The sequence below is a fragment of the Homo sapiens genome, chromosome 2 (genome assembly GCF_000001405.40).
Source record: "Homo sapiens chromosome 2, GRCh38.p14 Primary Assembly".
Classification (NCBI taxonomy): domain Eukaryota; kingdom Metazoa; phylum Chordata; class Mammalia; order Primates; family Hominidae; genus Homo; species Homo sapiens.
The window spans coordinates 207,679,179-207,695,550 of record NC_000002.12 but is presented as its reverse complement, the minus strand read 5'-3'; the positions used below and the strand labels follow the sequence as shown (position 1 = coordinate 207,695,550).

General features: G+C 43.9%; 2 pseudogenes; one reads left to right on the top strand and one right to left on the bottom strand.

Annotated features, from left to right (window-relative positions):
• Positions 1 to 13,320: 13,320 nt before the first annotated feature.
• On the bottom strand, positions 13,321 to 14,161 carry PPP1R14BP2 (protein phosphatase 1 regulatory inhibitor subunit 14B pseudogene 2; annotated as a pseudogene).
• Positions 14,912 to 15,018, top strand: RNU6-664P (RNA, U6 small nuclear 664, pseudogene; annotated as a pseudogene).

Here is a 16,372-nt window from a genome sequence, read left to right as displayed (position 1 = left end):
GACAGTGCCTCTCTTGACCTCTGGAAGGCCCTATGAAAACCTGAAACCGAGGCAAGGTGACAAAGTCTGGTCATTCAGCACTAAGGGCCGCCTCAGATTACTTCTTTACTTAGAAAAACAAAATGTTGTTGCAAAAGATTCAGAGTCACAAATATTCTTCCCGGGCCTGTCAGTTTCTGAATTCTTAGATTTTTCATTTAATTTAGCCATCAGGGAATTTCTGAGACTAGAAATACCTAGGCAGAACCCAAACAAAATCTCGAGCACGAGCCCATATCTTCAAGGTTGGTGAGAATCAGATATGTGTCTGGGCTAAAGTGAGCGAGGGAACTGATTTTTACCCCATGCAGTCACCTCAGGATCAGATAGAAGGTGAATGAGAGGTTGCACGTGTCTCGATGTGTATCTTACCAGATCCTCATGCTTATTTTCTTGAGCAATCCTAAATACCTTGTTTAGAATGTTTGCAAAACTATAGTTTAGTCTTTGTAACTGCCACTTCCTACCAGAAACTAGAATGCCATATGTTCAGTATAGAAATGACAACATAAAGCTTTTTAACAACTCTTGTCCTCTGTAATAGTACTGTCCCCTTGAGTTTGAGGGATCATGACACTGTCTGTATGTAGTTTTAAATTCCCCAGTGATGCCAAATATATTTGTGTCAACAGATACTGTTCCAAAATACCGGAGTTCAACTTAGCTGAATACCAAGGGACTGACTCAAATTACTTTGAAGGAAATAAATATATCTTTACCGAACTCATATGACAAACTGTAGAAAACTCAGAAAATTTGTATTATAAAGAGTTAGAAAGTAGTAAAGTAGGAAATTTCCAAAAAGGCTAATAAGTTTTATGCTTTAATTATATTAGTGTAGCCCTTTTCAATTCACTTTTTTAGCAGCCATATGTGAAAATGCTGATTTTGCTAACTAGTGATAGTATTTAATTAATTACTAATACTAAATAATTATTGTTAGAAACATAGAAAGCTGTCTTTTACTACAGAACTTTTCAATATAGTGAACTAATAATCATAGTAATAATAATCATCAAGTTAATACCTAATTTTGAGGACTTAAGATGAGCTGAGAGCTCTGCTAAGCACTTTTTTAATTTTTAATTTTTTTTTTTTTTTTTTTTTTGTGGAGATAGGGTCTCACTTTGTTGGCCAGGCTGGTCTCAAACTCCTGGGTTCAAGCAATCTGCCCACCTCTGTCTCCCAGGGTGTTGGAATTACAGGCATGAGCCACCCCACCTGGCCGTAAGTACTTTTATAGGTTGTCTCATATAAACCTCCCAACAACCTTATGAGATAGGGGAAATAATTTTTTACTTCAGAGCCTAGGGATCATAATGGCTAAGATTTTTATTGAGAATTTACTATGTGACAGGTGCTGTTCTAGGTCCTGTATGTGGATTAACTCATTCATTCCTCACGACTACCCACAAAGCAGCACTCTCATTATTCCCATCTTAGGGAATAAGGAAACAGAGCTGAAGTGACCCGCCCAAGGTCTCATAGCTGTAAGTGACAAGCCAACATGCTCAGGCTCTAGCAATCTGGCTCTAAGCCCAATCTTTTCCTCTCTAAATGGCTAGTCAACACTAGTTACATTATCTTTAAGACTTTTGCATGCCAGGAACTGTCTCAAACGATCTTCAGCTATTAAATTATTTCTCCATGAGGAGCTCATTGTTTTTCCCATTACTCAGATGAAGAAAGTAAGGTACAGGTCACTTGCTCAGAGTTTAGAGCTAGGATTCAAAATCTGGTTTTGCCTGATTCCCAGGCTCTTACTGTTTCCACCTTACTGCACAGGAAAAGTTGGTATGGCTTCTAAAGATGCATCGTGACTCCAAAGGAAAAGTATATGCATAGTGAAAATTTGATTAATCAGGTCATGAAATAGAAGAAATGCCCCGCAAACACAGTGTGCCACATGTTAGACACACACACGGGAGTGCAGAGCTAGATGACACCCTTCCTTTGTCTCCTTGCATCTTCCAGGGTTCTGGCCCTAGAAAAAGATTAAAAATGGGCAGGGGAGGCTGGGCGCAGTGGCTCATGCCTGTAATCTCAGCACTTTGGGAGGCCGAGGCGGGCGGATCACAAGGTCAGGAGATGGAGACAATCCTGGCTAACACGGTGAAACTCCATCTCTACTAAAAATACAAAAAATTAGCGGGGCGAGGTGGCAGAAGCCTGTAGTCGCAGCTACTGGGGAGGCTGAGGCAGGAGAATGGCGTGAACCTGGGAGGCAGGGCTTGCAGTGAGCCGAGATCGCGCCACTGCACTCCAGCCTGGGCCACAGAGCGAGACTCCATCTCAAAAAAGGACGGGGGAAGCTGCCATCTTCAGCAAACCAGACTTGGAAGACATCCATGAGTCCTGGTTGCATCCAACCCGACTCTTTATTGGGCTTGCCCAGGCTGGAAGACACAGGGTCAGAATCTATCCTCATGGTTTCTCATATTTTAAAATTATTACCTGGGAGTAGTGGGCCATACTTACAGGGCCAGCTACTTAGGAGGCTGAGGCAGAAGGATCCCTTGAGCCCAGGAGTTAGAATCCAGCCTAGGCAACATAACAAGACCTTGTCTCTAAAAAAAATGTAAAAACATCGTTTTAGTTATTTATTTAGGCCAGTGGTGTGAAAAGGCTCAAGTGGCAGGCGAGCAGTGGAAGCACAAGAGAAACTATTCTTGCAAAGTGAAGACCAGCTTGTAGTTTTTCCTGTTATTCATTTTGCGTTTCCTCTTCCTCACCATTGAACATTGTTTAAGGCATTATTTAGGCACTAAGTTGAAGTAATTTCTATTTTCTTAAATTTCTTAGATTTCTATTTCCCCACATTACTTTTTGAAGGACACAGCCTCAGCTTTTTGCAGTGTACTTTCAAAAATCTGGAGATGGTTCCAGCCTAGCCTGGTGCACAAGGCAAAAGACATTTCCCCTGCAAAAAAGGTGTTTCATTTTTCTGAACTGTATACACAATTGTCACTTTTCTTTGTTTCTTCAGAAATATATCCCTCCATACAATAAACTATTGTCATTTCTTCTTTCTGAAGTCATCTTAGTCTGTTGCATTATTCAATTGCGATGCTTGAGTCCTCTGCCAGGGCTTGCTGTGAATGGCGCCCCCTGGGATTATTCAGGGCACAAACAACGATAAGCAGTGGCCCTGAGGTCAGAGCTGTATGCTAGGAGAACTGAGCACTGGAGCAGAGAACTTAATAACAGGAACTATTGTCCTTTGATTTATCACTCCTGCTCTATCTGTAACCTTTTGCCTTATTTCTAGTTTTAGCACTACGACATGTATTTATTTACTTATTATTTTTGGTTTTGAGATGGAGTTTCGCTCTTGTTGCCCAGGCTGGAGTGCAATGGCGTGATCTTGGCTCACTGCAACCTTCGCCTCCCGGGTTCAAGTGATTCTCCTGCCTCAGTCTCCCAAGTAGCTGGGATTACAGGAGCATGCCACTACGCATGGCTAATTTTGTATTTTTAGTAGAGATGGGGTTTCACCATGTTGGCTGGGCTGGTCTCGAACTCCTGACCTCGTGATCCGCCCGCCTCAGCCTTGGCCTCCCAAAGTGCTGGGATTACAAGCATGAGCCACCACGCCCAGCCAGCACTATGACTTTTAAATAATTTTCTCTGCTATGGCAGAATCTAAACAGACGTAAAATAGTCTATCTACCTCTGTGTCTAAGACAGAATGGAAATCAACTGGCCTGTTTGAAATAAGTTCAACTTAATTGTTTTTTAAATATAAGTTCTCCAGGAAATTGTTGCTGTGAGTAAATTTGGTTTAGTTGATCAGAGGGTTAGTGTTTCTTTTAGTTGAAGTAAGTAATGAAGAGCTGGAGTTTGTAAACATAGCTCTGAAACGTGTATGCTGTGGTTGATTAGACATTTTGGTAAACCAATATAGTTTTTTAATGTCATTACAAAAATAGCCACCAAATACAGAATTATAACAGGAAGAAAGTCTAGGAAGGGGTAATTTGACTCACCTTACTGATTTGGTGCAGACATATTCTAAAGATCAAGTGAAATAAACCAACACTCCATCACCTTTGTACCAATCCAGCAAACTTGCTTTGCAGATTTTTACTTCTTCTTCTTCTTCTTCTTTTTTTTTTTTTTTTTTTGAGACGAAGTTTCGCTTTTGTTGCCCAGGCTGGAGTGCAATGGCGCAATCTTGGCTCACTGCAACCTCTGCCTTGCAGGCTCAAACAATTCTCCTGCCTCAGCCTCCAGAGTAGCTGGGATTAAGGGCGCCCGCCATCATGTCCAACTAATTTTTTGTACTTTTAGTAGAGACGGGGTTTCACTATGTTGGCCAGGCTGGTCTCGAAATCCTGACCTCAGGCGATCCACCAGCCTAAGCCTCCCAAAGTGCTGGGATTACAGGCATGAGCCTCCATGCCTTGTCTGCTTTTTAAAATTTTTTATTTGTTTTGCTGAGACAGAGTCCCACTCTGTCACGGAGGCTGTAGTGCAGTGGCGCAATCTCAGCTCACTGCAACCTCTGCCTCCTAAATTCAAGCGATTCTCATGCCTCAGCTTCCAGAGTAGCTGGGATTACAGGCACGCGTCACCACATTCAGCTAATTTTTGTATTTTTAGTACAGACGGGGTTTCACCACGTTGGCCAGGCTGGTCTCGAACTCCTGACCTCAAGTGATACACCTGCCTTGGCCTCTCAACATGCTGGGATTATATGTGTGAGCCACCATGCCCGGCACTTTGCAGATTTTAAAATGCCCAGCAGAAATTCTTCAATTTGGAGTTTTCTTTTTGCTGGCTTAGATCCTACAAACTGAACACAGAAAAGAGGTGAATTCACTGATGCTTCCCCTTTCCTGGCTTTTCATTTTCGAAAAACACACATATAAATTCCAAATTATGTATGTGATGACCTTGACAATCAGAAAAACAAAACAAAGACAATAAGTGTCTAGGGAAAAGTTATGTGGCAATTAGTGAATGCTCAGTGAATTTTGTTGAATTGAAATAAAATACATTTGAATACATGAATTGTAAAGATCAAGACTTGTCCCTTGATTTTAAAAATTATAGATGTAGCCTAAGGACATAGTTAAACCCGTAAACAAAGACTAATGCACAAATATTTATTGAAGAGTTATAACAATGAAAGAAAGGAAGCAATTTAAATATGCAATAATGAGAATTATTAAATAAATGGTGTATCCATGAAGAAATACTATACGTCCATTTAAACTATACTTATAGCAAGTTCTAAGGACGTGGGAAAATGTGTATGATGTAGGTTAAATTTATAAAACAAAGGGTATACTAAACAATATTTCAGTGTAAGTTCAGCTTTGTTAGAAAACATTGTTCAGGGCTGGGCGCGGTGGCTCACGCCTATAATCCCAGCACTTTGGGAGGCCAAGGCGGGCGGATTACCGAAGGTCAGGAGTTCGAGACCAGCCTTACCAACATGGAGAAACCCCGTCTCTACTAAAAATACAAAATTAGCCAGGCGTGGTGGCACATGCCTATAATCCCAGCTACTCAGAAGGCTGAGGCAGGAGAATCGCTTGAACCCAGGAGGCGGAGGTTGCGATGAGCCAAGATCATGCCACTGCACTCCAGCCTGGCAACAAAGCGAGACTCTGTCTCAAAAAAAGAAAAAAAAAAAAAAGAAAACATTGTTCAGGAAAAAAACCCAGAAGAGACTGCTAGAATATCAATAGTGTGGCCGGGCGCAGTGCCTCACGCCTGTAATCCAGCACTTTGGGAGGCCGAGGCGAGCGGATCATGAGGTCAGGAGATTGAGACCATCCTGGCTAACATGGTGAAACCCTGTCTCTACTAAAAATGTAAAAAATTAGCCAGGCACGGTGGCAGGTGCCTGTAGTCCCAGCTACTCGGGAGGCTGAGGCAGGAGAATGGTGTGAACCTGGGAGGTGGAGCTTGCAGTGAGCTGAGATCTCACCACTGCACTCCAGCCTGGGTGACAGAGCAAGACTCTGTCTCAAAAAAAAAAAAAAGAATATCAGTAGTGTTTCTGGGTAGTGAGACTATTGGGTTTTTTTGTTTTTGTTTTTTGGGGGGGTTTCTTTTGGTCTCTTCTATATTTCAGAATTTATCTGAAATAAAAAAATTGTGTTATTTTGGTAATTTAAAGACGTTAAAAATTAAAAACACTTTTTTTTTTTGAGACGAAGTCTTGCTCTTGTCCCCAGGCTGGAGTAAAATGGCATGGTCTTGGCTCACCACAACCTCCACCTCCTGGGTTCAAGCGATTCTCCTGCCTCAGCCTCTCAAGTAGCTGGGAGTACAGGCGCCTGTCATCAAGTCGGGCTAATTTTTTTTTGTATTTTTAGTAGAGACGGGGTTTCACCATGTTGGCCAGGCTGGTCTTGAACTCCTGACCTCAGGTGATCCACCCGCCTCGGCCTCCCAAAGTGCTGGGATTACAGGCGTGAGCCACCACGCCCAGCCCAGAAAACATTTCTATGAAAAAAATTTACTGGTATAGCAACTCAAAATCAATGAAAAATGTATGCATTTATCATCTAAGCTAAACCTGTCACATGGCTTTTGATATAATCCAACCAGAGTCACATAATCCAATGAGATAATAAAATCCAATGAGGTAATAAAATCCAATGAGAGTCACATAATTCATAATTCTTGCAGGTAATTTATTCTAAAGTATAACCAAACATTTTCAAGCTTACTTTCAATTCTCTAGTTTCAATTTGAATCCATTGTGAATCAGTGAGTTTGTAGGAGTATGTACACTTAGGTCATATTCTAACATCTCTTTTACTAAATAGCATGTTACTTTTCATCTTTTCCTTTTTGTGTTGTTTGATTGATTGCCTCTTTGTTTTCTTTTGCTGTTTCTTATTTTATCATTTACTGTCTCAGTTTCTTGGGGTGCTAATTCTCCCATTTTGCTTCCTGACTCCCCTGTAGATCGCTTCCTCAACATGCTCTGTAATTTTTCATTGTGAGCACATTTTTAGCAAAGTGCAACTGCTCGTTAGACATTCCATGTGCCTTGAATTATAAAAGTGTCTCCAAAAAGAGATTTTGTGTTAACTTCTGTCAGGGCTTTCGCTGATATCATCCTATTCAGGGCCCACTTTTATACAAATTTCTGGGCTTGGACCGGGCACGGTGGCTCACACCTATAATCCTAGCACTTTGGGAGGCTGAGATGGGCGGATCACTTGAGGTGATCCCAGCTACTTGGGTTGCTGAGGCACGAGAATCGCTTGAGCCCGGGAGGCGGAGGTTGCAGTGAGCCGAGATCGGGCCACTGCACTCCAGCCTGGGCGACAGAGCAAGACTCTGTCTCAAAAAAAATAAAATGCCAGTCCATGGCCATTAGAACTTGTATCTGGGCACAATGCCCCCATAGGCTTCTTTGACATCATGTCACACTCTAGTTTTGAGTTCTATCTTTTGTTCTGGTGCCTAGATATTTCCTTTGGAAGGATTAGGCTAGTCAAGTGAAGCAGTGGGAATGGAGAGGGAACAAAGAAATCTGTAACTCGTGGTGATCATAGTTGTAAACACAACTGCACACAGACTAGCCTATATTTTATTTATTTATTTATTTTGAGATAGAGTGTCGCTCTATGGCGAGATTCTCCTGCCTCAGCCTCCCGAGTAGCTGGGATTACAGGTGCCCACCGCCGTAATTTTAGTAGAAACTGAGGTTTCACCATGTTGACCAGGCTGGTCTCGAACTCCTGACCTCAGGTGGTCTGCCCACCTCAGCCTCCCAAAGGGCTGGGATTACAGGCATGAGCCACCGCAACCAGCCCGACCAGCCTATATTTTAAACTGTTATTGCATTTGATACAGGAATCTTATTGTTTGGGGTAGGAGGAGTTCTGTGGAACTCTTGTAACTTTGGAGAGGAAAGAGTTAATTCAGCTGTATTTCAAGTCCTCTAGAAGTTTTCTAGATCAGAGCATCTCAGGCTATGGCAACACACCTGTGTGTGATAGCAACCTGCGTCTTGCTATCCATCTGAAGAGCCACAAGAGATTAACAATAGTTAGAACATCTAAATTCTCCAATTTTTCACCTTTTCAAATAAATTTAAGGCTCTTCCTGTATGATAATGTGATCCTTGTTTCCTTGAATTATTTTCTTTCTTTCTTTCTTTTTTTTTTGAGATAGGGTGTCACTCTGTCGCTCAGGCTGGGATGCAATGGCCTGATCATAGCTCACTGCTGCCTTGAATTCCTGAGCTCAAGGGATTCTCCTGCCTCAGCCTTTCTGAGTAGCTGTGACTATAGGCCCACACCACCACACCCAGCTTGTTTTTAAAAGTTTTTATAGAGACAGAGTCTTGTGTGTTGCCCAGGCTGATCTCAAACTCCTAAACTCAAGCAATCCTCCCACCTCTGCCTCCCAAAGTGCTGGGGTTACAGATGTGAGCCACCACGCCCAGCCCTTTCTCTTTCCTTCTCTCTTTCTTTCCTTCCGTCTTTCTTTTTCTTTCTTTCTTTGTCTTTCTTTCTTCCTTTCTTCCTTTTTCTTCCTTCCTTCCTTCCTTCCTTTCTTTCCTTCCTTCCTTCTTTCCCTTCCTTCCTTCCTTTCTCCCTTCCAACCTCCCTCCCTCCCTCTCTCCCTCCTTCCCTCCCTTCTTTCTCTTTCTTTTCCTTCCCCTTCCCACCCTTCCCCTTCCCTCCCCTCCCCTCCCCTCCCCTTCCCTTTCTTTTTCTCTTTACTTCAGACAAGGTCTCACTCTGTCACCGAGGCTGCACCGTGCCCAGCCAAATGTTATCTTTCATGTTGAGGCAGACAAGAAAGCTAAGAGGTTACTCTAGACTGTATTCATGACTCTGTTAGTGCCATCTGAAGACACTATCAACCTCAAACCTCTATCAAATTAATTCTTAAAAAGTAAACATTGGGCCCGGCACGGTGGCTCACACCTGTAATCCCAGCACTTTGGGAGGCCAAGGCGGGCGAATTACCTGAGGTCAGGAGTTCGAGACCAGCCTGGTCAACATGGTGAAACGCCGTCTCTACTAAAAATATAAAAATTAGCTGGGCGTGGTGGCACACGCCTGTAATCCCAGCTACTCGGGAGGCTGAGGCAGGAAAATTGCTTGAGCCCGGGGGCAGAGGTTGCAGTGAGCCAAGATCGTGCCACTGCACTCCAGCCTAGCCAACAGAGAGAGACTCTGTCTCAAAAAAAAAAAAAAAAAAAGTAAATATTATGCTTCATAATCATAAGCAGAAAAGTAGATTTACTTCTGCATCTTTCTCAAGATTCTTCTTATGATTAATTCCAAAGTGCATTTTCACCAAAATGAAATATAATTTGTAAAGTGTGTGCTATAATTGGCCAGTTACCATAATAGGAAACTGAACTGAACTTTTTTTTTGAGATGGAGTCTCGCTCTGTCACCCAGGCTGGAGTGCAGTGGCGCAGTGGCAGCCTCCCGAGTAGCTGGGACTACAGGCGCCCGCCACCACGCCCGGCTAATTTTTTATATTTTTAGTAGAGATGGGGTTTCACCGCATTAGCCAGGATGGTCTTGATCTCCTGACCTCGTGATTTGCCCGCCTCGGCCTCCCAAAGTGCTGGGATTACAGGCGTGAGCCACCGCGCCCGGCCTGAACTGAACTTCTTCCCTCACCACAAGTCCTGTCCCAAGCCTATAAAAAAATCAAACCTACCTCAATGGGACATCCCTAACCTTGTGCCTCTACTCCATGCCAGGGGCCACTCTTGCTACTGAGATCTCTGGTATTTGTAGCCGCTTTGTCCTTACTGGTGGTGAAAAAATTTAAGAGGGGGCTGGATACAAATAAGAATAACTCGGGCAATTGTTTGGTAGGGTCTGATTTTTATCTACTTCACGAAAATGCATTTTCTTCAATTACATGACAACTCAAAGAGAGTAATGGGCCAGGTGCGGTGGCTCACGCCTGTAATCTTAGCACTTTGGGAGGCCAAGGATGGCGGATCACCTGAGGTCAGGAGTTCGAGACCAGCCTGGCCATCATGATGATACCCATCTCTACTAAAAATACAAAAATTAGCTGGGTGTGGTGGCACATGCCTATAATCCCAGCTACTCAGGAGGCTGAGGCAGGAGAATTGCTTGAACCCAGGAGGCAGAGATTGCAGTGAGCTGAGATCTCGCCACTGCACTCCAGCCTGGGTGACAGAGCGAGATTCTGTCTCAAAAAAAAAAAAAAAAAGAGAGTAACGGTAAGAAGTCTTTACCATTCTTACTAACGATAACTATCTTTTTGAAAAAAACATAAAATGTGTTCCTTGCTGTATAGGACATCAAGATTTTTATAAACTCTTGTTGTCACCTGTCACCTCACTGACTTCGAGAGTCCTCTGAGGAAAGGAGATAAAATTATGACTCCACTCATTTAACAGCAGAGCTGCCCAGTGCCGAAACCAGGGCCTGGGGCCCTCATGTGCCATAGAACCTACAGTATGTCCACTGGGTGAATCTGGGGATCTAGGTTAGCATCGATCTGAAACCTTCTTTGACTCTGTCTCTTTCTTTTTATCTGAGATGGGAGTTTCGCTCTTGTTGCCCAGGCTGGAGTGCAATGGCGCAATCTCGGCTCACTGCAACCTCCACCTCCTGGGTTCAAGTGATTCTCCTGCCTCAGCCTCCCAAGTAGCTGGGACTGCAGGCGCATGCCATCAGGCCCAGCTAATTTTTTTTTTTTTTTTGTATTTTTAGTAGAGATGGGGCTTCACTGTGTTAGCCAGAATGGTCTCGATCTCCTGACCTCAGGTAGTCCGCCCGCCTCGTCCTCCCAAAGTGCTGGGATTACAAGCGTGAACCACCGCGCCTGGCCTCTTTTTTTTCTTAACTTTTTTTTAGAGATGGGGTTTTGCTGTGTTACCCAGGCTGATCACAAACTCCTGGCTTCAAGAAATCCTCCTGCCTCAGCTTCCCAAGAAGCTGGGATTACAGGTGCGAGCTACTGCACCTGGCTTGCTGCCATGAGTTTGACTCAGCAGTTCTCTCTAAACTTGATGGGTCTAACCTCTCACCCCAATTCCATCCATGTCTCTGCTCCACCACTGAGGAAATTCTCACACATGCCACTGCCTTACTGCCATAAATCTTCCTCCCGTTGTTCCAGAAATGGGTCTACATGGGCTTTCACATGAGCTAAGTGCACATTTATCACTTTGGCTTGTGTTGAACATTGGCCGTAACCTTCTAAGTCACAGCAGATGAACCAGTGTGATTCATGCAAGAATGGTAGGAATGACTGTGACAAATGTTTGTCTTCAGAAAGACAAACATTATTTGTAGCTCACTTGTGGTGGGAAAGTAATCTAATATGCAAAAGACATCTGAATTTATTAGGTTGGTATAGCTATAACATAACTACTAATATATGAGATTTTTCTCACAGACTGATAACAGCTTTATTGCATGTGAGTCCTTGTCATTTATTGCTTCCTAGTACTATAAAAACTGAAAATAGCATATTATTCCTTGACCAGCTGACATGAGTTTGTGATTCATTTGACCAGAAATGTGCCCTCTAACCACAGCACTTCAACTTATGGTCATAGTTGGTTTGACAATAAATTTAAAAACATAATTAGAGAGCACTTAGGAAATTGGTCTACTTACCTTGATTAGAGTTTCTAAGGTGGTTATTTAATGTGGGCCAAAACTCTACTTAAGTTTTGCAACTTTACAAAAGTTATGCAGATAAGTCAAAAGATCTAAATAAGTAGTTAAAAGGCCACAAACTCTCTTCATATTGCTTCAGCTCTTAACAGAAGGACCTGCCCAGGGTCACACTCATATGTGTGAGAATCAGGAGGCAGCAGGTACACGAGAGGGAAAATGCTGTGAGCAGTGAGACTTTGGCACAAAGATGAGAATAACCATGTTGGCAACAGATAATGGACAGCGAGGAGGGATGACTGTTCCTCAGCTCTGCCCCTTTGCCTGTGCACGGAAACAGTGGTCCAGCAGCCATTCAAAGCGAACACGAGAGAAACAGATCTTCCTATTTTGAAGCCAAGAGTTTGAGACCAGGGCAACATAGAAAGACCCCATCTCTAAAAAGAAAGATCATGACTGTAAAAGGAAACTTGCATCAAGAAAGATTGGCATATAATGTTGGTAGGAATGGTCTGGGATACATTAAAGAGGAGAGCAACAGAACTTGGCAAAAAAAAAAAACAAAAAAAAAACTATGAGTGGAATTATTGACTTAGTACCTAGTAGTACTGTACCTACTAGTAGCACCTTTAATACTTAGCAGATATATTAAAACTGATTTTAAATCCCAACACTCTTGTTTGATTTTTGGCTTTTTAAAAAAAGAAATCAAAAGGATTGGGTGAGGCCAGGACAACTGCTGTTGTGAGAAAAGGGGAAAATTTTGAGGTTTGGCACTTATAGGTTCTTATTTAAGAATCCCATAAAAAATCCTGAGTAGATTGGCTGGGCGGGGTGGTTTACGCCTGTAATCCCAGCACTTTCGGAGGCTGAGGCGGGCAGATCACCTGAGGTGAGGAGTTCGAGACATGCCTGGCCAACATGGTGAAACCCCGTCTCTACAAAAAAGACAAAAATTAGCTGGGCTTGGTGGCGGCCGCCTGTAATCCCAGCTACTTGGGAGGCTGAGACAGGAGAATTGCTTGAACCCGGAAGGCAGAGGTTGCGGTGAGCCAAGATCAGGCCACTGCACTCCAGCCTGGACGGTAAGAGTGAAACTCGGTCTCAAAAAAAAAAAAACCAAAAAAAAACCGAAAGTACAGTCAGGCTGGCATGTGGCTCACAGCTGTAGTCCCAGCACTTTGAGACTTTGGGAGGCTGAGATGGGAGAATTGCTTTAGCCCAGGGATGTTAAGGCTGCAGTGAGTTGCACCATTGTACTCCAGCTGGAGCGACAGAATGAGATCCTATCTCAAAATAAATAAATAAATAAATACATATTTTAAAATACGGAAAAGTACAGTCAAAGGACTAAGATTTATGTTCATATATGTCCATTGCAACATTATTTATAATATCAGAAAACTAAAAACACTAAAAATACGTAACCATTCGTATGGCTAAATATCTTCACTTGATGAAAGATACGGTGTTTAAGAACGTATAATAAACCTTAACAAAAAAACCCTAAAAAGCAAGATACTGTTACATTGTATGTACAGAATATCTCAACTGTGTTTTAAAATAAAGAAAAAAAGATTTAAAAATATAAAAATATAAAAATTGTATCTACTTGGGGAAGACTATGTTTTTTCAGGAGAATGTATTATATATAGAAAGAATTTTTTTTTAAAGTCCCATCAGTTTAATCACAATAAAAAACCCCAAAAGTGGAAGACTGAGGGGGCAGGGGAAGAGACCCCTGGGCCAGGGGCAAGAGGAGACCGGCTCATGGCACCAGGCCTGGCCGCAGGGCCCCCCGGTATTGCTGTTGCTACGAGGTCGAGGGGCAGCAATTGTCCTGTGGGAGCCACCGTTCGCCTGGGTCGGGGACCCTCACTTCTTCTGGGGTGTGCTCAGCTTCTGCATGCCCCGGATCTTGTCCAGCAGGCCAGAGATGAAGGTCTCTGTGGGTTTGTAACAAGTCAACCAGCAGCTCCTTGACCCTGGCAGTACGGGCATCGTCACTCTCCATGTCCAGGAGCTCATCCACGTCAATTTCCAGTTCTGGGATCTCCTCTTCCTGGCAGTCGTAGAGGCGCGTGAGCTGCTCCAGGATCCACTCCTCTAGGTTAAGGCGCTTCCGTAGCTCCTTGCGGTCATACTTGACGGTGACCTTCACTTGGCGCCTCACTGGGCCCTCATCGTCCGCGCCGCCCGGGCCCTCTCCTGCGGCCCAGGGGGGCTCTGAAAGTAGACGCGTTGTCCTGGGCCGCCACTGCCCTGCCCGGGGTCCGGGGCAGCCAACGCCACGCCCCTCGCGGTGCAGCTGTCCGCCATGGCGGCCGTCGGGGCCACGTGAGCGCGTCGGGCTCCTCCCTGCGCCGCCGCCTCCGGGACGCCCGCCGGCTGGCTCGGGTTAGCTCGCCGGCTCCGCTCCGCGCGGCTCCGCGGCGAGGGCGGCGGCGGGGGCACCCGGGAGCAGCTGCAGCATGCGGAGACCCCGGGCCTGGCCTGGCCGCGCCCCGCCCCCTCCCCGCGGATCCGCCCGCCCTTTGTCCCCCGCGGCCGCCCTAAAGAATGTTAAGGTTCCCTAGGACCAGATAGGATAACTTAATCATAAGATAAATACAAGTGAGGAAAGGAATTAGATGAAATAGTATGAAGGAAATAGAATTTAAGAATTCAAGCCTGGGTGCGGTGGCTCACGCCTGTAATCCCAGCACTTTGGTAGGCTGAGGCGGGTGGATCATTTGAGGTCAGGAGTTCGAGACCAGGCTGACCAACATGGAGAAACACTGTCTCTAATAAAAATAAAAATAAATCAGGCGTGGTGGCGCATGCCTGTAGTCCCAGCTACTCGAGAGGCTGAGGCAGGAGAATCACTTGAGCCCAGGAGGTGGAGGTTGCAGTGTATGGAGTTCATACCACTGCACTCCAGCCTGGGCAACAGAGCAAGACTCAGTCTCAAAAAACAGAATTCAGGGAAATTGGATTATCTATGTCTTTAATTTCTCACAAGTCAACTATGTTCACACAACCTGTATTTTTCATACAGTAGAGGCCTGAAATGCAAACCAATGACTTCATTTGTTGCCGATCCACAGCAACAGTGATGGACTCCAACGCTGGAGGAAAAACTGGCTGCACTGCGTTTATTAAGATACAGTAAAGAATATATTAATCCTGACTATTACTATACCCTGGACAATTCAAGGGATTTTTCCAGAGTAATATTCATAGATCAGATGCAATTTTCATTTGACCTACACTGTAGAATATAACTTTTGGTGCTAGTTTCAGCAGCACATATACTAAAATTGGAATGATGCAGAGAAGATTAGCATGTCCCCTGCATAAGGATGACATGCAAATTCATGAAGTGTTCCATATTTTAAAAATACCTATCAGGTACTACACTTAGTACCTGGGTAATGAAATATTCGTACACCAAATTCTCGTGACATGAGTTTACCTATATAACAAAACCGCATAATGAGCCCCTGAACCTAAAACAAAAGTTAAAAAAGAGAAAAAAAAAGAATATAATCTTTGGTTAAAAAGTGACTCCTACCTTGATTTTAAGAAAATTTTTATCATTTAGTTTAATTCCATTCAGGGATCATAAATAAATAGTCTAATTTTTTTAAAAAAATCGAGATAGAATTTACATAGCAGCATTCACTCTTTTAAAGTATAAATTTTTGTTGTTGTTGTTTGTTGTTTGTTTGTTTGAGGCAGAATCTTGCTCTGTCACCCAGGCTGGAGTGCAGTGGCATGATCTTGGCTCACTGCAACCTCCACCTCCCCAGTTCAAGTGATTCTCCTGCCTCAGCCTCCCGAGTAGCTGGGATTACAGGTGCCTGCAACCATGCCCGGCTAATTTTTGTATTTTTAGTAGAGACAGTGTTTCACCATGTTGGCGAGGCTGGTCTTGAACTCCTGACCTCAAGTGATCTGCCCGCCTCGGCCTCCCAAAGTGCTGGGATTACAGGCGTGAGCCACCACGCTTGGCCTGGAACCTCCCTTTCCAGTTTGAATTCCCTCATGTCTCCTACTCACACCTCTGTATTTCCAGCATTACCTCCTCCTTCTCCTCCAGTCTAAATCCCACCCATTTTACAAGTCCCACTTCAAATCACGAGTTTTTGATAAAGCCTTCCCAGGCTATCCAGCCCTCAGAGACAGCTTCCCAAATCTCATTGCATGTAGTAGTTGCACCTTTTGTTTGGCAAATATTCTGCCTTTCTGGCATATATATATGGCACATTGTAGGTGCTGCATGTATATTAAGTGAATGAATGAATCTCTACACCAGATTATAAGCAAATTGAAAGTCGTGGCCTATGCTATGTTCTAATCCAGGGCTGTAGCGTGGTTGAGGAGAGATATATGGCAATGATGAAAATATTTGAGAAGCTTAGGAGCCCCAGGGAGGGAGGAGCATTTCCCAGAGTCCTCTCTGTTTCCTTAGTTTAGAGCAACACCGATTTACCTTCTGGCTATGATCAAAATGTTTTTGTCCCCCAGAATTCATATATTAAAAACCTAATCCTCAAGGCGATGGATGGTATTAGCAGGTGGGCCCATTGGGAAGTGATTAGGTCATGAGAGGGGAGCCCTCATGAATGGAATTAGTGCCCTCATGAAAGAGGCCCCAGAGGGCTGCCTCTCCCCTTCTACCACGTGAGAACACGGAGAGAAGGTATTGCTCACTAACCAGAACACAGGCTCTCCATAGACACCACATC